Genomic DNA, 23,592 nt, shown 5'->3' on the forward strand with positions numbered 1-23,592 from the left:
CCCTTGGCCCCCACCCCCTGACAGGCCCTGGTGTGTGATGTTCAACTCCTTGTGTCCATTTGTTCTCTTTGTTCCACTCTCACTTATGAGTGAGAACAGGCAGTGTTTGATTTTCTGTCCCTGTGTTAGTTTGCTGAGAATGATGGTTTCCAGCTTCATCCATGTCCCTGCAAAGGACATGAACTCATTCTTTTTATGACTGTATAGTATTCCATGGTGTATATGTGACAAATTTTCTTTATCCAGTCTATCATCGATGGTCATTTGGGTTGGTTCCAAGTCTTTGCTATTGTAAATAGTGCTGCAGTAAACATACATATGTATGTGTCTTTATAGTAGAATGATTTATAATTTATTGAGTAGGTACCCAGTAAAGAGATTGCTGGGTCAAATGGTATTTCTGGTTCTAGATCCTTAAGGAATCACCACACTGTCTACCACAATGGTTAAACTAATTTACACTTTCACCAACAGAGTAAAAGCGTTCCTATTTCTCCAAATTTTCTCCAGCATCCATTGTTTCCTGACTTTGTAATGATCGCCATTCTAATAGGCATGAGATGGTATCTAATTGTGGTTTTGATTTGCATTTCTCTAATGATCAGTAATGATGAGCTTTTTTCATACGTTTACTGGCCGCATAAATGCCTTCTTTTGAGAAGTGTCTGTTCATACCCTTCACCCACTTTTTGATGAGGTTGTCTTTTTCTTGTACATTTGTTGAAGTTCCTTGTAGATTCTGGATAGTACACCATTGTCAGATGGATTGCAAAAATATTCTCCCATTCTGTAAGTTGCCAATTGACTCTGACGATAGTTTCTTTTGCTGTGCAGAAGCTCTTCAGTTTAATTAAATCCCATTTGTAAATTTTGGCTTTTGTTGCAATTGCTTTTGAAGTTTTAATCATGAAGTCTTTTCTCATGCCTATGTCCTGAATGGTATTGCCTAGGTTTTCTTCCAGGGTTTTTATGGCTCTAGGTTTTATGTTTAAGTCTTTAATCCATCTTGAGTTCATTTTTGTATAATGTGTAAGGAAGGGGCCAGTTTCTGTTTCTGCATATGGCTAGCCAATTTTCCCAGCATCATTTATTAAATAGGTAACCCTTTCCCCATTGCTTGTTTTTGTCAGGTTTGTCAAATATCAAATGGTTGTAGATGTGTGGTGTTATTTCTGAGGCCTCTGCTCTGCTCCATTAGTCTTTATATCTAATTAGTGCCAGTACCATGCCTTTTTGGTTATTGTAGTCTGGTAGTATTGTTTGAAATCAGGTAGCATGATGCCTCCAGCTTTGTTAATTTTGCTTAGAATTGTCTTGGCTATACGGGCTCTTTTTTTGGTTCCATATGAAATTTAAAATAGTTTTTCTAATTGTGTGAAGAAAGTCAACAGTAGATTCATGGGAATAGCATTGAATCTATAAATTACTTTGGGTGGCATGGCCATTTTCACATTATCCGTTCTTCCTATCCATGAGCATGGAATGTTTTTTCATTTGTTTGTGTCCTCTCTTATTTCCTTGTGCAGTGGTTTGTAGTTTTCTTTGAACAGGTCCTTCACTTTTTTTATAAGTTGTATTCCTACGTACTTTATTCTCTTTGTAGCAATTGTGAATGGGAGCTCACTCGTGATTTGGCCCTCTGTTTGTCTAATATTGATGTATAGGAATGCTCGTGATTTTTGCACATTGGTTTTGTATCCTGAGACTTTGCTGAAGTTGCTTATCAGCTTAAGAAGTTTTTGGAGTGAGATGGTGGGTTTTCCTAAATATACAATCATGTCATTTGCAAACAGAGATAATTTGACTTCTCTCTTTCTATTTCAATATGCTTTATTTCTTTATCTTGCCTAATTGCCCTGGACAGTACTTCCAATACTATGTTGAACAGGAATGGTGAGAGAGGGCATCATTGTCTTGTGCCAGATTTCACAGGGAATGCTTCCAGGTTTTGCCCACTCAGTATGATATTGGCTATGTGTTTGTCATAAATAGCTTCCATTTTCTGCTACCTTTTGAATTTGGTTGCTCTTGAATCTCTAGTTCTTTTCATTGTGTTGCTAGGTTGATGAATTTAGATTTTTCTAGCTTTCTGTTGAGAGCATGAAGTGCTACAAATTTCCTTCTTAACACTGCTTTAGCTGTGTCCCAGAGATTCTGGCATGTTGTCTCTTGGTTCTCATTGGTTTCAAAGAAGTTCTTTATTTCTGTTTTAATTTCGTTAGTTACTGAGTAGTCATTCAGGAGCACGTTGTTCAATTTCCATGTAGTTGTGCAGTTTTGAGTGAGTTTCTTAATCTTGAGTTCTAATTTGATTGCACTGTGGTCTCAGAAACTGTTTGTTATGATTTCCGTTCTTTTGCATTTGCTGAGGAGCATTTTACTTCCAATTATGTGGTCAATTTTAGAATAAGTGTGATGTGGTGCTTAGAAGAATGTATATTCTGTTGATTTGGGGTGGCAAGTTCTGTAGATCTCTATTAGGTCCGCTTGGTCCAGAGCTGAGTTAAAGACCTGAATATCTTTGCTAATTTTCTGTTTCGTTGATCTGTCTAATATTGACAGTAGAGTGTTACAGTCTCCAACAATTATTGTGTGGGAATCTAAATCTCTTTGTAGGTCTCCAAGAACTTTTTTTATGAATCTGGGTGCTCCTGTATTGGGTGCATATATATGTAGAATAGTTAGCTCTTCTTATTGCATTGATTCTTTAACCATCATGTAATGCCCTTCTTTGTCTTCTTTTATCTTTGTTGGTTTAAAATCTGTTTTGTCAGAGATTAGGATTGCAACCCCTGCTTTTTTCTGCTTTCCATTTGCTCGGTAAATATTCTTCAATCCCTTTCTTTTGAGCCTATGTACGTGAGATTGGTCTCCTGAATACAGTACACCGATGGGTCTTGACTCTTTATCCAATTTGCCAGTCTGTATCTTTTAATTGGGGCATTTAGCTCATTTACATTTAAGGCTAATATTGTTATGCGTGAATTTTCTCCTGTCTTCATGATAATAACAGGTTATTTTGCATATTAGTTGATGTAGTCTCTTCATAGTGTCATTGGTCTTTTTATTTTGGTGTGTTTTTGCAGTTGCTGGCACTGGTTTTTTCTTTCCATATTTAGTGCTTCCTTCAGGAGCTCTTGTAAGGCAGGCCTGATGGTGACAAAATCCCTCAGCGTTTGATTGTCTGTAGAGGATTTTATTTCTCCTTCTCTTATTGTGTCCGGAATTGGTGGGTTCTTGGTCTCACTGACTTCAAGTATGAAGCCGTGGACCGTCGCGGTGAGTGTTACAGTTCTTAAAGGCGGCATGTCTGGAGTTTGTTCCTTCTGATGTTCGGATGCGTTCGGAGTTTCTTCCTTCTGGTGGGGTTCGTGGTCTCACCGGCTCAGGAGTGAAGCTGCAGACCTTCGCGGTGAGTGTTACAGCTCTTAAGGTGGTGCATCTGGAGCTGTTCTTTCCTCCCGGTGGGTTCGTGGTCTCACTGGCTTTAGGAGTGAAGTTGCAGACCTTCGCAGTGAGTGTTACAGCTCATAAAGGCAGTGTGGGCCCAAAGATTGAGTAGCAGCAAGATTTATTGCAAACAGAGAAAGAACAAAGCTTCCACAGTGTGGAAGGGGACCCGAGCAGGTTGCCACTGCTGGCTCGGGCAGCCTGCTTTTATTCTCTTATCTGGCCCCACCCACATCCTGCTGATTGGTAGAGCCGAGTGGTCTGTTTTGACAGGGTGCTGATTGGTGCATTTACAATCCCTGAGCTTGACACAAAGGTTCTCCACCTCCCCACCAGATTAGCTAGATACAGAGTGTCGACAAAAAGGTTCTCCAAGGCCCCACCAGAGTAGCTAGATACAGAGTGTCGATCGGTGCATTCACAAACCCTGAGCTAGTCACAGGGTGCTGATTGGTGTGTTTACAAACCTTGAGCTAGATACAGAGTGCCGATTGGTGTATTTACAATCCCTGAGCTAGACATAAGTGTTCTCCATGTCATCACCAGAGTAGCTAGATACAGAGTGTCAATTGGTGCTTTCACAAACCCTGAGCTAGACACAGGGTGCTGATTGGTGTGTTTACAAACCTTGAGCTAGATACAGAGTGCTGATTGGTGTATTTACAATCCCTGAGCTAGACATAAAGGTTCTCCATGTCCCCACCAGACTCAGGAGCCCAGCTGGCTTCACCCAGTGGATCCCGCACTGGGGCTGCAGGTGGAACTGCCTGCCAGTCTTGTGCCATGCACCCGCACTCCTCAGACCTTGGGTTGTGGATGGGACTGGGTGCTGTGGAGCAGGGGGTGGTGCTCATCGGGGAGGCTCAGGCCACACAGGAGCCCACAGAGGGAGTGGGAGACTCAGGCATGGCAGGCTGCAGGTCCTGAGCCCTGCCCCGCGGGAAGGCAACTAAGGCCCGCCAAGAAATCGAGCGCAGTTCCAGTGGGCTGGCACTGCTGGGGGACCCAGTACACCCTCTGAAGCTGCTGGCCTGGGTGCTAAGCCCCTCATTGCCTGGGGCTGCTCTGAGTGTGGGGTCTGCCAAACCCACACCCACCCAGAATTCCAGCTGGCCCACAAGCACCATGCGCAGCCCCAGTTCCCACTCGTGCCTCTCCCTTCACACCTCCCTGCAAGCTGAGGGAGCTGGCTCTGGCCTTGGCCAGCCCAGAAAGGGGCTCCCACACTGCAGTGGTGGGCTGAAGGGCTCCTCAAGTGCCACCAAAGTGGGAGCCCAGGCAGAGGAGGCACCAAGAGTGAGTGAGGGCTATGAGGACTGCCAGCACGCTGTCACCTCTCATTATGAAGCTTAGTTTGGCTGGATATGAAATCTTGGTTGAAAATTCTTTTCCTTAAGAATGTTGAATATTGGCTCCCACTCTCTTCTAGCTTGTAGGGTTTCTGCAGAGAGATCTGCTGTTAGTCTGTTGCGCTTCCCTTTGTAGATAATCTGACCTTTCTCTCTGGCTGCCCTTAACATTTTTTCCTTTGTTTTAACCTTGGAGAATCTGACTATTATGTGTCTTGGGGTTGCTATTCTTGAAAAGTATCTTAGTGGTGTTCTCTGTATTTCCTGAATTTGACTGTTTGCCTGTCTTGCTAAGTTGGGGAACTTCTGTTGGATAATATCCTGAAGTATATTTTCCAACTTGGTTTCATTCTCCCCGTCACTTTCAGGTACACCAATCAATTGTTAGTTTGGTCTTTTCACACCATCTCATATTTCTTGAAGGCTTTGTTCATTCCATTTCATTCTTTTTTCTCTAATCTTGTCTTCACACTTTAAATTGTTAAGTTGATCTTCAATCTCTGATATCCTTTCTTCCACTTGATTGATTCAGCTATTGATATTTGTGTATGCTTCATGAAGTTCTCATGCTGTGTTTTTCAGCTCCATCAGGTCATTTATGTTCTTCTCTAAACTGGTTATTCTAGCTAGCAGTTCCTACAGGAAACTTTTTCTCAAAAAGGTTACAAGAACCTTTTTATCAAGGTTCTTACCTTCCTTGAATTGTGTTAAAACATGCTACTTTAGCTCAGAGGAGTTTGTTATTACCCACCTTCTGAAGCCTACTTCTGTCAATTCATCAAACTCATTCTCCATCCAGTTTTGTGTCCTTGCTGGAGAGGAGTTGCAATCATTTGAAGGAGAAGAGGCATTCTGGTTTGGGGAATTTTCAGCATTTTTGTGCTGGTTTTTCCTCAGCTTCATGAGTTTATCTACCTTTGATCTTTGATGCTAATGTTCCTTGGATGGGGTTTTTGTATGGGGGTCCTTTTTGTTGATGTTGATGTTATTGCTTTCTGTTTGTTAGTTTTCCTTCTAACAGTCAGGCCCCTATTCTGCTGGAGTTTGCTGGAGGTCCACTCCAGACCCTGTTTGCTTGGCTATCACCAGCAGGGGCTGCAGAACAGCAAAGATTACTGCCTCCTCTTTCTTCTAGAAGCTTCCTCCCAGAGAAGCGCCTGCCCAATGCCAGCCAGAGCTCTTCTGTATGAGGTGTCTGTCAACTCTTGCTGGGAGATGTCTTCCAGTCAGGAGGCACAGGGGTCAGGGATCCACTTGAGGAGGGAGTATGTCCCTTAGCAGAGGTCATGCGTTGCACTGAGAGATCCACTGTTCTCCTCAGAGCCCGCAGGCAGGAATGTTTAAGTCTGCTGAAGCTGTGCCCACAGCCGCACCTTCCCCTAGTTACTCTGTCCCAGGGAGATGGGAGTTTTATCTATAAGCCCCTGACTGGGGCTGTTGCCTTTCTTTCAGAGATGCCTTGCCCAGTGAGGAGGACTCTAGAGAGGCAGTCTGTCCATGGCCCCTTTGCTGCACTGTGGTGAGATCCACCTGGTCCGAACTTCCCAGCCTTCTTAACACTGTTGGGGGATAATCGCCTACTCAAGCCTCAGTAATGGTGGACGCCCCTCCCTCCACTAAGAGTGATTACCCCAGGTCAAGTTCAGACTGCTGTGCTGGCAGAGAGAATTTCAAGTCAGTGGTTCTTAGCTTGCTAGGCTCTGTGGGAGTGGGACCTCCTGAGCAAGACCACTTGGCTCCCTGGTTTCAGCCCCCTTTCCAGGGGAGTGAATGGTTCTGTCTCACTGGGGTTCCAAGTGCCACTGGGGGAAAAACAAAACAAAAAAAACTCCTGCAGCTAGCTCAGTGTCTGCCCAAACAGTCACCCAGTTTTGTGCTTGAAACCCAGGGCCCTGGTGGTGTAGGCACATGAGGGGATCTTCTGGTCTGTGGGTTGCAAAAACCATGGGAAAAGTATAGTATCTCAACCAGACAGCACAGTCCCTCACACTTCCCTTGGCTTGGGGAGTGAGGTCCATGGACCCTTGAATTTCCCAGGTGAAATAATGCCCCACCCTACTTCTGCTTACCCTGTGTGGACTGCACCCACTACCTAACCAGTTCCAATGAGATGAACCGGGTACCTCAGTTGGAGATACAGAAATCACCTCCTTCTGCATTGGTCTCGCTGGGAGATGCAGACTGGAGTTGTCCTATTCGGCCTTCTTGCCAGATCTCCCTTAAATTTCATACGGAATCTAAGAAGTCCCCATAGAGCCAAGACAATCCTAAGAAGAACAAAAAAACAAAGCTGGAGGCATCACACTACCTGACTTCAAACTATACTATAAGTCTACAGTAACCAAAACAGCATGGTACTGGTACCAAAACAGACATATAGACCAATGGAACAGAACAGAGATCCCAGAAATAACACCACACTTCTAAAGCCATCTGATCTTTGACAAACATGACAAAAACAAGCAATGAGGAAAGAATCTCCTATTCAGTAAATGGTGCTGGGAAAACTGGCTAGCCATATTCAGAAAACAGAAACTGGACCCCTTCCTTACACCTTATAGAAAAATTAACTCAAGATGAATTAAAGACTTAAATGTAAAACCCAAAACCATAAAAACCCTAGAAGAAAATCTAGGCAATACCATACAGGGCATGCCAAAAGCAATGGCAACAAAAGTCAAAATTGAAAAATGGGACAAATGGGATCTAATTAAAGAGCTTCTGCACAGCAAAGGAAACTAGCATCACAGCCGAAAAACATGAACAAAAAAGCTTAACATCACTGATCATCAGAGAAATGCAAATCAAAATCACAATGATATACCATCTCAGCTAGTTAGAATGGCGATTATTAAAAAGTTAGGAAACGAGATGCTGGCGAGGCTGTGGAGAAAAAGGAACACTTTTACACTGTTGGTGGGAATGTAAATTAGTTCAACTATTGTGGAAGACAGTGGGGCAATTCCTCAAGGATCTAGAACCAGAAATATTATTTGACCCAGCAATCCCATTACTGGGCATATACCCAAAGGAATGTAAATCATTCTACTATAAAGACACATAGACATGTATGTATATTGCAGCACTATTTACAATAGCAAAGACATGGAACCAACCCAAATGCACATCAATGTTAGAATGGATAAAGAAAATGTGGTACATACACACCATGGAATACTATGCAGCCATAAAAAAGAATGAGATCATGCCCTTTGCAGGAACATGGATCTTGCTGGAAGCCATCATCCTTAGCAAACTAACACAGGAAAAGAAAACCAAATAATGCATGTTCTCACTCATAAATGGGAGTTGAACATGGAGGACACATGGTCACAGAGAGGGGAATAACACACACCAAGGCCTGTTAGGAGGTGGGGGGCGAGGGGAGGGATCTTAGAGGATGGGTCAATAGGTGCAGCAAACCACCGTGGCATACATATACCTATTTAATAAACCTGCACATTCTGCATATGTATCCCAATTTTTAGAAGAATTTTTTTTTAAAAATTACTTTCTCTGGTTATGACTGAAGAAGTGTCCTACAAAGTGGACATATGTGTGTGCACTCATCCACAAGCTTTTTGCCTCAAAGCTCAGAGATCTACTGAGAACCATGAGTAAGAAGTGATTGGGGGCCTAGAGACCTTGGGGAGGGAGACTTTGTCAGAAGTGAAATTTTCTTATAGATAGAAAGCAGCAGGGAGACACCAGAAGCTTCACAACTTGGATGGCTTATTTGAAGGCCCCATTCTGTCCTCACTCTCTTCTTGTTTTCTCTCTGTCCATGTATGTTTTCTGGAAAGTTGACATTCCAAACCTAATCCCATGTGCAGCCAGGCTGGCAAGTAAAGCTGAGTTGCCAATTACTTTGCTTTTTTTGGACTCCACTTTCCCTGAGTGGCAATGAAAATAATAATCCTACAGCCTTTCCTGACAAGTTCTGCAGGTAAGAGCTTGTTTTAGGTATAATCCTTCATGGGAGCTAAGGGCAGAGGAAAGAAGAATGGGGTCAATTAAATAACCTCTAGAGCATCTTTCTGATTATGTGACTCAGTCATCTGTGGGCTTTTGCCATTGCTGTCAATTAAGGTTGACACCAAGGCCAAGCAGACTTTATGAGCTAGGACATAGCTGGATCACCCTTAGGACTAAGAAGAGGAGAAGACATCATTCCAGATCCTACCAGAGCCCTCTACTTCTCCCTTTTGTTGTCATGTCATCTGTTTAGAAGAGAAGCCTGAGACAATTTTATGTGGGGGGCGGGGGTCGGGGAAGGGTGTACGTGCATGCGTGCGTGTGTTCCAACTTTCCAAGCAAGGGATCTCTTCTAACCTAGCCTAAGTTGGAATAGTGCTACAGGTCCAGGACCTTAGCCTTAGAGAGCAGAGCTATTCTTCCTGTCTCTTACTTCCCACTATGTAGCACTCAATGTTTGATATTGGTACTGGAGACCATGTGACTTTATCTTCCTTAAATATGGTATTAATTTTCACCCAGAAAAATAAAGCGATTAATGGAAATCGGGCACTTAAGATAATAAAAGGGAGTGTTTTGCCTTAGGGCAAAGCATAAGGATTTAATTTTCCCAGAATTCTCAATCTGATTCTGAGGCCAGCAACAACTAGTTTTGGGGCAGTACAAATACATAAGATGAAATCCCCAACCAGGGACCTGGAGCCAGAAGAACCCACAAGGGCTTCAAATGGCCCAGGTGTTGGAGGCCTTTTTAACAATGTGGCTGTAATCTACACAGTAACCAGACCAAGCAAGCCTGCTTTAGCAGATAACCTCAAAAGTGCAAAGATAATATTGAGATGTGGAGGAATATCAAGGGAGGCTCCACAAGAAGGATGGAGTTTTGTTTTTTTGATCTATTCCTTACTTAGGGCAGGGGAAGAACAGCTGTTTACAAGGGTGGATGGATGTGAGGGACACTATGAAGGCTTCCACCTGAACATCAGCCTCTTTGAGACTAGACATTTCACTGTTAATGTTAACAATCCATTTCTTTGGTTTAAGGTGTGTGAATTCCCAGGGCTGTCCCTGGAAAAAGAAGTATATTCAACCCTTGACAATAAATCATAAGGAAGGTAGAGGAGAACCAATAGAGGGAGGTTTGCCTTTGGAATGTGAAATAGTTCCTTCAAGTGAACCAGAGATTATAGAGCAGGAGGTGACCTTAGAGATTTTTTAATTCACCTTGAAACTTAACTATAATAAACGGTTCCCTCAGACAAACAGAAATGAGAGGAAGAGTTTGAGCTGGGAATAGAGAGAGGCTCTGGACTGTGTGGGAAAGTTGAACCAGGAAAATAATTTCACTGTTAGGAGGACTGGCACATGACCTTGAAGGGAAGATGCAAGATGGTATTGGCAAAGATGAAGGAGCACAGGCAAAACTAAGCCAGTGCATGTAGCATAAGTGTGTCTAATATTAAAACAGAATTTGCAATGAATTCCAAGGGTACAGAAAATTCTTTTGAAAGGCCAGACTTCTACTTGATGGTTTTCTTTGCTTTAAGTCGCTCGGGCTAATTGGAATGGAATGTTTCAGTTAAGCAAACACTCACTAGAATTCAAACCTGGTTATAACCTCCATTCAAATAAAAATAGATAGAAATGGCTGCAAAAGTCTCTCTGTTTCTCTATTTGGAATATAAAGTATAGAATGTACACTATTGAGGTTTGTTATGGACATATTCACGATGTTATACTATTTGGAATATAAAATTGAGAATGTACACTTTTGAGGTTTGTTATGGGCTTATTTGGAATGTTACAGGATGCAATATGACTTCCCAGAAAACATGGCAAAAATTGCAGCAGCAAGCTTCGCTCCTGCTAAGTTTCTTTCCTCTATCCAAAGTCCTGTCATAAGTATAGGAGTGAGACAGGGGAAAATGGGAAGATGAGGAAATGGAGTTTTCAAAAGATTATTTGGAAATTTATTCTTTTTTAACATTTGTTTGGAGGTTTTTGTTTTGTTTTAGATTTTGAAAGGGAAATGCATGCACATGGTAAACAATTCTAACATATTCAAAAGGCTATATACAGTTTGAAAGTCAGTTAACTTTGCTAGAAGAAAACACTGTTAAAAGTTCCTTGTGTTACTTTGTGATACCAGAGATAATCTAATCTACATTTAGAAACACACACACACCATAATTATAATTTTGGATCTTATAAAACCTTTGTGAAGGCTTCTCTGTCTGTCAGGTTTACTTCAGAACAACACCAGATTCCCGTGGCATGGTCTTTACCATGTGACCAAAATCATCTTCAAAGATTCAGCCAGGCCACTGGCCTCTACCTCTATGTTACATACTCAGAAGCCAAGCCATAGTAGGTAGGGGTAAGTAGGAGGGGATCCTGGGAATTGTAACAAAGTATCGTTCTCTTAGGAAAATTAGGATATTAGTACCTACCTCACAGGATTATTTTAAGCACTGAAAGAAATAATATGAATAAAGTGCTTAAAACAGTGCCTGGCATAGAGTAAGTGCTACATAAGTTTCAGCTGTTGTCATCATCACTATTATTGTTGCTATTGTGAAAGAGGACAGCTTAGGGCTTCCTGAAGCTATTCCCTATTTTCTCTGGGTTTTCTTCACAGGTACCTCCAAAGATGGGAGTTGCTGTCACTACTCTTCTTCTAGAATATTTTCCCCACCAAGATCTAAACTGTGGAGCCAGTTGGTAGCCAAAATTGTACCTCAAAAGCTCTCCTAGACACATGGAAAACTTGGCTTCTCTGCCTGATGTTCATCTCAAAGCATCAGTGATAAACTGTTTCATATGTTATTACTCACTACTATTCTTGTAAAGACCATGGAAATACATGGACAGACCGCCAGCTCACCACACTTTCTGCAGAATTACTCAGCCCAGACGTGTTGTTTTCATCTCCTTTGTGTGATTCAGTTCCTCTTCATTCCTACACCTCTCACCACTTCTGAGGAGTTACATGTTTCCAGCTAGCCGCAGACATTGAACTGCCTTATCTTGCTGGCTACATCTGCATGCAGCTGGTACCACTAGGACAGGCTGAACTACACATTCACAGATTAAACTCCCTAAGCAGCCTGAGTCTGCCATCTCATTCCCTTTGAAGCTCTTAGAGAAGGGGAAGCCAAGTTCACAGATATGCAGCACACCTTCTCTCACCTGTCTCTTTATTTGGGAGGGTGGGTGAATGACAACTAAGACAACTAGCATTTCCCTACCAAAGAGTCTCATCACTGACATCTCTTTACTTCCTGGTTTCTCACAAACATAAATTGAACATTCGACTTCTGGTACAAATCTTTGTACCATCACAGAGGGGCTTCCATGGGGATTAACCATAAAGCCTCACTTGCTTGACTCAATTCCAGTGACTTTTTCTACACTTCATTTATCCACATCCATGGCCCATGCAGGGTCTTTTCATCATCCAGAACAGCTCTACTTCTGAAATCTTAAATTCGTATACCCTACTCTTCAGCTACTTTTATTTTCCAGTGAGGGCTTTTACTTCCTTGCCCATACTACTCCTATTCTATGGGCTCCTGGTTTCTGTCAGTTTATCAGTCCATCCTAATTATTTTTTCTGACTTGCCTAGGCTCTATAATCTATTATTGCAACCATTTTCTTTTCTCTAGTTTTAACCACATTTTGACCTGGTACCACCTGAAAATTTATGGTTTCCTTCTTCAGGAGAGTTATTGGCACCACATGATAACTTCTTCAGGAGTTCCTGGCCAACTTTCTCTTCCATCTCTTCCTATATATTCAGACATCTCTTTTCATCAATCACTGTCCTAACTTCGAATCTTCACTCCTTCCCTCTCCAATGGTTCTTTGTCCTCTGCACAACAATATGCTGAAACCTCCCATCATTTAAGAAACAGTCCCTCCACCTTATCTCTTTCTCTGTTTGTTGCCCTGTCTCTCCTTTTCTTTCTAACCAAGCTTTTTAAAAGCAGTTTAAGAACAGTTTAAAAACTTTTAAAGAACCATTTACATTCACCATCTTCACTTACTCTTTTCCTTTTCACCCCTCAACACACTGAAATCTGGTTCTGTTTCTGGGGTAGATCCTCTCCTACCCGTTTGTACCTTTGTCAAAATATTAATCACTCTACTGTAACCACCACTAGGCCTAAGTACCTCAAAATGTAGGATGTTGAATAACTTATCTATGTAGTCCCAGAGCCTAGCACAGTGCTTGATTGATAGGAGGTCCTCAATAAACAAATTATGTCACAAACACTTACTGGACACCTACTAGGAACCAAGCACTGTATTGGTTCTGTGGACTTGAATCCATCTCAAAACCTATATTTAAGCAACTTTTTCTCACAGAACCTTTCTTTCCTTTGTGAATGTCAAGTCAGTATATTTAATTAAGCCATACAATCCCTGTCCCGTGCCGTGACTTTACTCATAATGGTCATTCAACATTTGTTGAATGATTGCTTGATAGAACTCAGCAGACCCAAAAGGACTAATTGTGAAGAGTTGCTGTAGGAAATGGCCAGAGAGAGGCCTGTTCTGAAATCTGGTTCCTTACAGAGAGCTTTTCAGGCTTTCAGAACCATTTCTGAGCAGTTCTCTAGAAATACATTCATTTGCAACTCTATCCCAACATGGCTGATAGGTTTTGGTAAACCCGTTTACAACCTCTCCATTTCCTTTGTCTTCAACTTCTCTCCCCTCTCTCCAGTCTTTCCCCCTACACCTATTAGACAGGTGCAAATATCTCTCCTAGTCACAAATAAGGAAAGACCTAAATTAGAAAACCTCCCTGGACTCCAAGGTTTCACATTACCTAATATCCTTCCTTTCTCCACTAATCTTCTGCAAGAATAGTCTGAACTTTCTAGTCCCATTTCCTTCTTCCCATTCATTCCCACACCAAATAGTCAGAAAGGCTAGGATATGAATTAGAATGGTCAGGGAAGGGTTTCATGGACAAGTAAGGGCACAGGATGCAGAAGAATTTTGTGATTAAAGTGCAGAATATGGAAATGTATTGGAGAGGTATTAGGTTTTTCTATTTTATTTTTCATCTGCTTTATAATATTCTTTTTTTTAAGTAGGTAACACATGTATATGATACATAGTTCAAAAAATGCAAAATGAAAGTAAGGGTTCTTCCCAATCCCACCAAGTTCCCTTTTCTAGAGGCAATCACTGTTAAAAGTTTCTTATGTATCCTCCCAAAGATGCATTTGTAAATATTTACATATATGGAGTGCCTATACAATATGGTAGAGCACAATAAGAAGGGCAGTGTGAACTGACAAGCACAGAAGAGGCTTTGAAGAATTAGGGAATATCATCTTCCCTCCAACATACTCTTCCTCTTAAGTCCCCACCTCCATTAATAGCCTTTCCATCCTCCCAAGATGACCCAGGCTCAAAGCCTCTGAACATTGGCAGGAAATCTGTTACTAACCAGAGTTTAGTTTTCTAAAATGGTTTTCTGTACATCACAATTAAGCCAATTAACATTCCCTCCACACCTGCCACTGCTATTTTCAATTTTGTTTTGAAAATATAAGTCACATACATCTACTCCTCACCACTTTCACTACCCCAGCCTCCATTAGGCCCTCGTGACTTCTTATCTTCAAAATTGAAGTAACTGCCTTCTTCATATGGTTGTTAGGTACATTTGGTAAAATTAAATAAGCATGGTAACAATTAGCAGGCTCAACAAATATTTGTTCCTTTCTCTTCTCCCCAATACCTCCCAGCCACTATACCACCCCACCACCCCATCAACCTTAATCCACTCCCCATATTACATACTTGGTTTATCAAAACAACGTCGAATTCTTGAAATTTTTCTATATCTATCCTATATTGATCCCAAGATCAGAGCTTCAGAATATGAAAACTTACCTGAACTCTGAGGAAAGGCACTAGAAAATTCCAAATACAGCTGTCCCAAAGGAAAACCACTCTTAGTACCTCTCAAAGGCATTGCCTTTATAGTCTAGGGTAGTATCATTGACATGTAGAAACTAAAAAGGTTATGATCTAACCTATATTTTTCCCCTAGAAAAACCTTACCTATTCTTCAGGACTCCGTTTGAATTCCACCTTCTTCTTGAAGTCTTCCAGGATTCTGCCCATGTTAACTCTTTTCACCCAAGTCTTAATGAATCTTACCTTTCTCTGCATTACAAAATGTGGAGGGAAGGGAGGGAGGAGAGGGGAGACAAAGGAAGACATGGGATGGGGAGTGAGAGAGTGACACCCAAATCCTCGTTCTGACAAAACCCATTGTCCCACCTCCTAAAATATGCCTAATTGAGTAAGGTTAAAGTGATGGTTACCAAACAGCAGGTAAGGGTATCCCCTAGACCCCCTAGTTTCTGGTTAACAATTAAGGACATATAAAATAAAATATACTTTAATCTTGAATAAACTTATTTATTTTCAGGTTAATTTACTTTTGTATAAATGATTTTGGCATATTTTAATTTTTATTATCTATATCATAATCTGATTCATTTCAATTAAATCATGAACATTTTCCCATGTCATTAACTTTTCTTTAAAATATTTTTTAATAGTTTTGTAAGTCTCTCATCTTGTTTCCATCCGTAATATATTTGTTCCCCTATTTTGGGGCATTTTTCTTTTTATTCCCATTTTTGTTTTTACAAATAATGTTATTTGAAGGTATGTAAATCTTTACCTGAATCTCTATTTATCTGAATCTTTATGTTTAGACATGTTGATAGATAACATCAAACTACTTCCAAAAATGATGTACCAATCTAATCCACTGGCACTGTACAAGAATGACCACCTCATTGCACTCTCACCAGCATAGACTATTATCTTTTCTATTTTTTTCTAATTTGATAGGTGACAAAAATGACATGCCATTATTAGTTTTTCTTTTCCTTTTCCTTTTTTTTTTTTTTTTTTTTTTTTTTGAGATGGAGTCTCACTCTGTCACCCAGGCTGGAGTGCAATGGCACGATCTCGGCTCACTGCAACCCCCGCCTCCTGGGTCCAAGCTATTCTCCTGCCTCAGCCTTCTGAGGAGCTGGGATTACAGGAGCCCACCACCATGTCCAGTTAATTTTTTTTATTTTTAGTAGAGGCAGGTTTTCACCATGTTGGCCAGGGTGGTCTGGAACCTCTGACCTCAGGAGATCCGCCCGCCTCGGCCTCCCAAAGTGCTGGGATTACAGGCATGAGACGCCACGCCCGGACAAGAGTTTTTCAATAATGTTAATATACATGGTTTGTTTTTCCTGTTCTGTTAATTACTTATACATCTCCTTTGCCCATTTTTATTGAGATCTTCTGTTTTTCTTACTAGTTATATGTATTTTGATATAATCAACATGTTAGATTATAATTATTATATGCAGTTGATTCTTATTATTCACAGTTGCTATGTTTTATAAAGCCACTACAAACACTGAATTAATGAATACTGAACCACTGCTCCTGGAGAAATACATAGTTAGGCTCCTGTGAGCCTCTGGTCACATTTCCATCAACCCATCAAAACACAATCTTTGTTTATGTGTGTTTCTGTTTAAAGACACCTTATTTAAGCCACACAAAAACACAAATATTACATGTTCTCACTCATATGTGGAAGCTAAAAAAAAGAACTCATGGAGATACAGAGTAGAATGACAGTTACCAGAGGCTGGAAAGAGTAGTAGGAAGTCAGGGGATAGAGATGGGTTGGTTAATGGATACAAAGATATAGTTAGATAGAAGGAATAAGAGCTAGTGTTCAGTAGCACAATAGGGTGCCTATGGTTAACAATAATTTATTGTATATTTCAAAATAACTAAAACAGTGAAATTGGAATGTTCCTAACACAAATAAATAATAAATTATTGAGGATATGGATTCCCTAATTACCCTGATTTGATCATTATATATCATATGCTTGTATAAAAACATCACATGTACCCCATAAATATGTACAACTATTATGTAATTTATGCTCATGGTTTTATATAATTCCTCCTTGGCTATTGATTCTCAAATCTATGTATCCAGATGGGATCATTCTCTGGAGTTTCAGCCTTCCCTAGATCTCTCCAAGTGGATTTTCCACAGGAACCTCAAACTCTACTTGACTGAAATAAAACTATTCTTCCTATTTTCACAAATGAAGAATCTGAGGCTCAACGAAGTTGAAGAATTTCCCCTGGGTCCCAGTAAAGAAATTAAACCAAATCTGTCTGACTCTGAAGCTTATGTTCTTTCCATTTTTGTTATACTGCCTTTTATAATATTAGGGAGAAAAAAAACCCAGAACATTACATATATATCTTGTAGCTCTGAAACAGAGTAACAAGTTTCACTGGGGAATTGATCCTTCCTGCTCTAAGAAGCTTGAATTCTAAATTTTCTGGATTACTTTTTAAAAAATAAATCCCTGGAAAATCAGGGGCAAAATTATGAAGTGGAAGAAGCTGGAGAAGTCCCTTCCACTCTTTGGATCACATTTTCCCTGATATTTAAAAAAGATCTCTACATTCTCTTACAGCTGTGCCATTATGAGAGTCTATGGAAGACAGAGTTCTGTATAAGGTACAGACATTATGAATAAATGCTCATGCCATTCAGCCTGTGTAATAGCTCAGCTGCATTCCAACACCATTCTCCAGGACCCGCTGGACTAAAGGCTGATCATATATCTTCATGATATTCTCATCTACTCCAGGCACCCAGCCCAGCATGACGCACTTGTCCACACAGCCCTGACTCACCTCTGGCAATACCAGCTCTTTATTCAACTGGAGAAGTAATCAGGTAAAAGTGAAAATTCTATGACATATTTCCCCACAGAGGGTTCTGATATGTGCCCCACAAAGTCACTTACTAGCTGCATGACCTTGGACATGTCACTTAATCTCTCTGACCCTTAGTTTTCTCATCTGCAAAAGAGAGATTAATAAAACGTAATTCACCTGATTATTGCAAAAATTAAGAAATAATGTGTGGAAGAGCACCAGGCATATACTAGGTACTTAATAAATGTTTTCTTCCTTCATTGTCATCCTTCAATGGACCATGCCAGTGTTTCCTTGGATTCACTAGTTATTATCAAGGTCTAATCTATACATTTTTTGATCATCGCCCCCCGTATCAACCAAAGAACATTTAGCCAGGTGTGGTGGCATGTGCCTGTAGTCCCAGCTACTCAGGAGGCTGAGGCAGGATGATAGCTCGAGCCCAGGAGTTCAAGGCTGCACTGAGCTATAATTACGCCACCACTGCACTCCAGCCTGGACAATGGAGCAAGATCAAAAAAAAAAAAAAATCTGAAGAAATGCCACTCATGGTGATTCTTAATTTACTTAACTGTAGCAATTCAGGCTGCATTTGAGTTCTTATAGCAAACTTAAAGTCATAACATGTAGTCAGCAAGCATCTGCTTAAATGCTTCCTGTGACAGGGAACTCAGTCCCTTTTAACACAGCCCATTTCATCTTCAATCAGCTCTGTTGTAACTTCCACCCAATAATCTTAATTCTGTCTCTTGGAGTCAAACTTTACAAATAAAATTCTCTTTCTCATGACAACCCTGTAGAAACTGGAAGACAGTAACCCTGCCCCCACTCCACCCTCAAGGCTTCTCTTCTTAATCTCTATTTTGTCTGTGTTCCTTTTTAAAAGATAACTGCCATATCTGAGCAAAATACTTGAGGTATGGTTCTACAAACTCAGCAACAAAGGAAATAATCACCTCCTGCATTCTAGATACTATACTACTATTAATGCAGCCTCAATTTCCGTTAACTTTTTCGGCAGCCATATTAAACATAGACCCATCCTGTAGAGTTGCTATTTTTTTAATTTTTAATTTGTTTTATGAAACTGGTGCAAGATACCACATTTTTTCTTATCAAATTTATTTTGTTATTTTTGGACCATCTTTGCAATTTAGTACATTCTTGGATTCCTGGTTCTATCACCCATCGTATATATTTACCCTCCCTTTTACAGTTCTCTCTTAACACTCAATGAGTATACTGTTCTTGCATCTCCATCCAAGCCATTAATTAAAATGTTGAAACCAAGACAAAGTCAGGTACAGAGCCCTACAGCTCACCACCAAGGACTTCTCTTTGCAACAGTGAAGCACAATTTTCTCCTACCTCAGTATACCTGATAGACCTTTCCACCATCGATTTACATTAATCACAATAGCTCACAAAACACCAGCAATACCCAAGGAGGGGCAGGACTCCTTAGAGGAAAACTAAAATTAGGGGAAAAGCCTGTGTGGCTTGGAGAAACCTTTATCCAAGTGACTCTGATAAATCTCTCAGAGAATGTGCCCTCATCTCTTGCCCTTTTTAAGAATTCCTACCCCAGGGAAACATAGAATAAATAATTAGCAACTTTTGTAAATGGTTTCTTCATCTGTGTGTTGGAGCTAATAATATACAACTCCTAGGGCTGTTATGAGGACTAAATGACTAATACATATAAAGTACTTAGCACAATGCCTGGTATGTAATAAGTGCTCAATATAAGTAGTACTTAAAAAAAACCTTTCAGACTCCAACTAAAGGAATAATGTTCTAGCTTATGTTTCCTCCATCTTGTTCACCAGGGTGTCACAAAAATAAACATTTTTGTCATGTTCCTTTCTGCAACGTAAGTAAACTATAGTCATTACCTACCTGCAACTATTCGTTAAAAGACCATATCCAAAAAGGCCACGTTTCCCAGCCCACAAATCTGAGTACAGGACACAGCCCCTGAGGGGCTGTTATAGCCACAAATATATTAAAATTTAATTTTTTCAAGCTGAGGCTCTACTGTATTGTCTGACTCCCATTCACCCCCTACCGCCCCAACTATGAATGGCAGAATCAAGACCTCCACATTTTTGAAGGCCCACATCATTTCCCTTCCTGTTGCAACGTTACCTGATCCTGCTGTTTTCAGTAATGGTGACAGAATCCAGGTAAGGTAATCCAGATTTGCCTTGCAATAAGATAATTCCAAGATGTCTATGGCTGCAGGACAGATTGTGATACTCCACCCTGTTCATACCCATAGCTCTCTGTTCACACTCATATCATGATATCCCTATCTCCCAACCCCCACCTTGGGTCACTGTGGTTTGCATGTCATATCTCAGGACTTCTGGTGGCCAAAAGTGGAAGCTGAAGTAGGACAAGAACTGAATCTGGAACCAGAGAAATCTATAAGTCTGTAACATTGGAAAACATTGTATGCTATGGCTTTTCTAAGTGACACGTTAATAGTAATCGACATATTATTATAAAAACAAAAATTTCCCACATCTATATTGTGCTTTGTGGTTTATAAAATACTTCAATGATCCCCAGTGTGTGATGTTCCCCTTCCTGTGTCCATGTGTTCTCATTGTTCAATTCCCACCTATGAGTGAGAACATGCGGTGTTATAATAATAATAAAATTAAAAAATAATAATAATAGTAATAAATACTTCAATGAGCACTTTCTCCTTTGTTTATCAGAACAGTTAAGTAGCTTCATTTGAGGGAAACACTGCTGGAAAATTAAAAATTAATTATCTTCATCAAACTTAATTATGTATTATTCCTCCACACGTATACAATAATTATCTCTGTCACACAATCTAGTTTGATCAAAAAAAGTTAAATAACAGCTATTTTGCACCACAAGGCATGAAACGCTAGGCTTCTTATCTTTTAGGACAGATAATATTAACTTTATTTTACAGGTAAGGAAAGCAAGTCTCTGTGAGGTTAATTTGCTCAAAGTCCACATATCAAATAGTAGAACTAGGAGTCAAAGTCTCTCTACTCTGACTCCAAATCATCTGCTCTGTTTTCTACCTCAGCATTTCGAAGTGCCATTCAACTGCCTTGATTAAAATGCCTGACATCCTCCCTGTCAAGAAACAGGCAGTGGCTAACTGAAGCCATCTTCCTAAAAGACATCTTTCAACTCACAAGTTCCTAAGCCAAGTTATCTCACAAAAGAGTAAGTTTCCTTTCCAGGCAACCAAGTTTCTATGCCATGCTGAAGAACCTTTCTTTTTAACCTTTCAGGTATACAGCCATAGAGCCTCATCCATCTGCAGAAAAGATGCTGACATATATTGCACCAAACAGAGCTCCAACCCCACCTTCAATCTTGCAGCATTATGTCAGTCGTTATCAAAGCATCTGGCCCAGTGTCTCACTGCAGAGATTGTGCACAAATTAGAAATGCTGCAATCTATGAAAATTCATTCTTCATTCTCCATGTTTGTCAGCCCCTACCCTTCACATTGCAGTCCCAACAAAGGACAGAAAGGCAACCACATGGGAGAAATCCAGATAACGCAGGCCAATTTCTACCTCAGCCCACAAACGACAAGGAACTAGGTAGCCAGTCTTGCACATGAGAGATTAGATACTGTTCTAAGCCTACCATTTTCTCTTACACAGCTCTCTAAAACATCGCAAGGTATACTCCTCAACTCAATTCTAATTAGCTGACTCATTCACTTCCTGCCTTACCTATTATAATTAGCTCTTTTCTTCAAGATTTACCAATCCCTCCTTCTACCCTAAATAGCATCCCTAAACAGCTACACAGCATTATGACCGTCTACAGTTAAAAAGATGGAAAAGTTTTCATTCACGGTTTGGTATTCCGTTAACTTTGGCCTGAAGTGAGACCAGACACAAAGAATGCCTTCAGGAGCTGGCATGCAGAGCCAGGAATCACTGGGGCCACATACAACCTAGTCTCAGCTCCAGCCAGATGAAATTACTGGATGCTGTGAGGTCACATACTGCTTCCCAGACAAACCAAGGCAGAGCCCAAAACTCTGCATTACCTCCTCAAAATGGCCTCTCATATCTCACACAAAAAAAAAAAAAGCCCAACTTTGGGTGCAACTAGCAACTAGCCTCTTTTGAATCTCCCCTCAACAAACCCTGGCCCCTGTATTTTCCTGTCTTCTTATTTGATCTGTTTTCTATCCTGGTTCTCAGCTGAGTATCAACTTCTGTTAAGTACCTGATTCCTTGCTTTGGCTTGAATCAGCATAGTCTTCAGCCATCTTCCTGGGTTTACCGACCACAGGCTCGAGTTCTGCAGAATTGGTTTAAACTGGTCAAAATAGATTTGAACTGACCAGAACTGATTTTCTTTGTCAAAAAATATTTGAACTGATCAAGATCAACTTCTGACAATTTTAAACCCTTTTGGGCCAGTTTTACATTACTAATGCAGGAGCAAGCCACTGAGGGAATCAGGATGAACCAGGAATGAGATGAAGCTGCTTCAATCTGCTTAGAAGACCAGCAAGGAGGGGACAAAAAGGACCTGATGCTAAGGATCATACCATTTGTGGTGGTGGTGCTGGAGGGGGGATAAGAAAGGACCTAATAGTCCGAGAGGTAGGATCAAACTACTGTGGACCCCGGGGGAAGGACTAAAATAAACTGATGCTCAATAACGCAGGATCAAATCACTGGTGTGAGACAGGAGGAGGAAAGATGCTGATGCTCGCCAGACAGGATCAAACCACTGAGATGCATATGGAGCTGAATGGGGATGCTTGTCGATAAGGAGCCATCAAACCACTCTGGGAGAGGGAAGGAAAAGAAGAGGAAGAGTGAGATCGTAAAGGGTCTAGTAGTGTGTAAGACAGAGTCAGACCCCTGTGGAGGATTGATGACTAAGGGATGCTGTTCTAAGTAGCAGGACTAAACCACTGTGAAAGAGAGGGGAGCAAAAAGAAGCTGAAATTTCTTAAAGCAAACATAAATTCTTTATAGGAGAAGTAAACAAGAATATGGTGTTCTGTAAGACAGAATCAAATCCTGCTTTTATATTTAATAAAGCGTGTTTATATATATTATTATTATCATTTGTTCTTTACTCTCCCCTCTGATGGTTGGGTCAGACCATGTTCCCACAAAGGCTTGTGCAGTAATTCTCAGCTGCCCCTAATGGTTGCTAGGCAACAGTGCGGCAGCTGCTGGATGAACCTTGCCCTTTTGACATTAACCCCTGGGTTACTGGAAGGGAAATAAGATGTACATAAATGAAAAAAGTGGGGAACAAAGTGAGATGATGACATCAAATGCTAGGTGGGGAGAAGTGGAAGACAAATTCACAGACCTTCGAAAATAAAAGGGAGACAGTAAAGTAATTGGCGAATGATGGCTATGTGGAAGAAGCAACACTTTGACAAAAGTACAGTCCTATAAACTTAGAAAACATCAAGCCCAGTTCTACATAAGACTTCTGAGTCCTCCTATGACATCCCTAACCAGTGGTGCTTGAATACTTTACGTGAAAAAGTAGTAGTTGGAAAAAAGTAGTAGTTCCTGGACAACCTATTCCATTTTCCTATAACTCTAGTCATTTTTAAAAATTGTGAGCCCCAAATTTCTTCCCTATGGATTTCACCCAGAAGTCTGAATCCTGTCTTCTAGAGCAGGGGTTGGCAAACTAGGGCTTACAGGCCATACCCAACTCACTGCCTATTTTTGTAGAGAACATGAGCTAAGAATGGTTTTTACATTTTTAAATAGTTGAAAAAATAAAAAAAGAATAACATTTTGTGACATAAAAAATTTTATGAAATTGAAATTTCAGTCCATGAATAAAGTTTTGTTGGAATACAGCCATGCTCATTCATTTACATATTATCTATGGCTGCTTTCTTGCTACCACAGCAGAGTTTAGTAGTAGTAGTTGAGTGGTAGTAGACATTATGGCTCTCAAAGCCCAAAGTATTTTACTATGTGGCCCTTTCCAGAGTAAGTTTGCTGACCACAGATCTAAAGC

At 40.6% G+C, this 23,592-nt stretch overlaps 1 long non-coding RNA gene and 1 other non-coding gene across 8 annotated transcripts in view; both read right to left on the reverse strand.

Annotated features, from left to right (window-relative positions):
- Positions 1-22,116, reverse strand: part of MIR325HG (MIR325 host gene) — a 356,735-nt gene extending 334,619 nt beyond the window's left edge. For 4 of the 7 annotated variants that reach the window (NR_110404.2, NR_110400.2, NR_110405.2 and 1 more), the window contains exon 1: positions 21,811-22,116. This is a non-coding gene — a long non-coding RNA (MIR325 host gene). Of the gene's footprint in view, positions 1-14,859; positions 14,965-21,810 lie in introns of all 7 variants that reach the window. The other 3 variants (NR_110406.2, NR_110401.2, NR_110402.2) reach the window with 1 other exon arrangement.
- MIR325 (microRNA 325) lies at positions 12,988-13,085 on the reverse strand. Its single transcript, NR_029905.1, has one exon. It is a non-coding gene; the product is annotated as a microRNA 325 (primary transcript).
- Positions 22,117-23,592: the final 1,476 nt, after the last annotated feature.

Source organism: Homo sapiens, chromosome X (genome assembly GCF_000001405.40).
Source record: "Homo sapiens chromosome X, GRCh38.p14 Primary Assembly".
Classification (NCBI taxonomy): domain Eukaryota; kingdom Metazoa; phylum Chordata; class Mammalia; order Primates; family Hominidae; genus Homo; species Homo sapiens.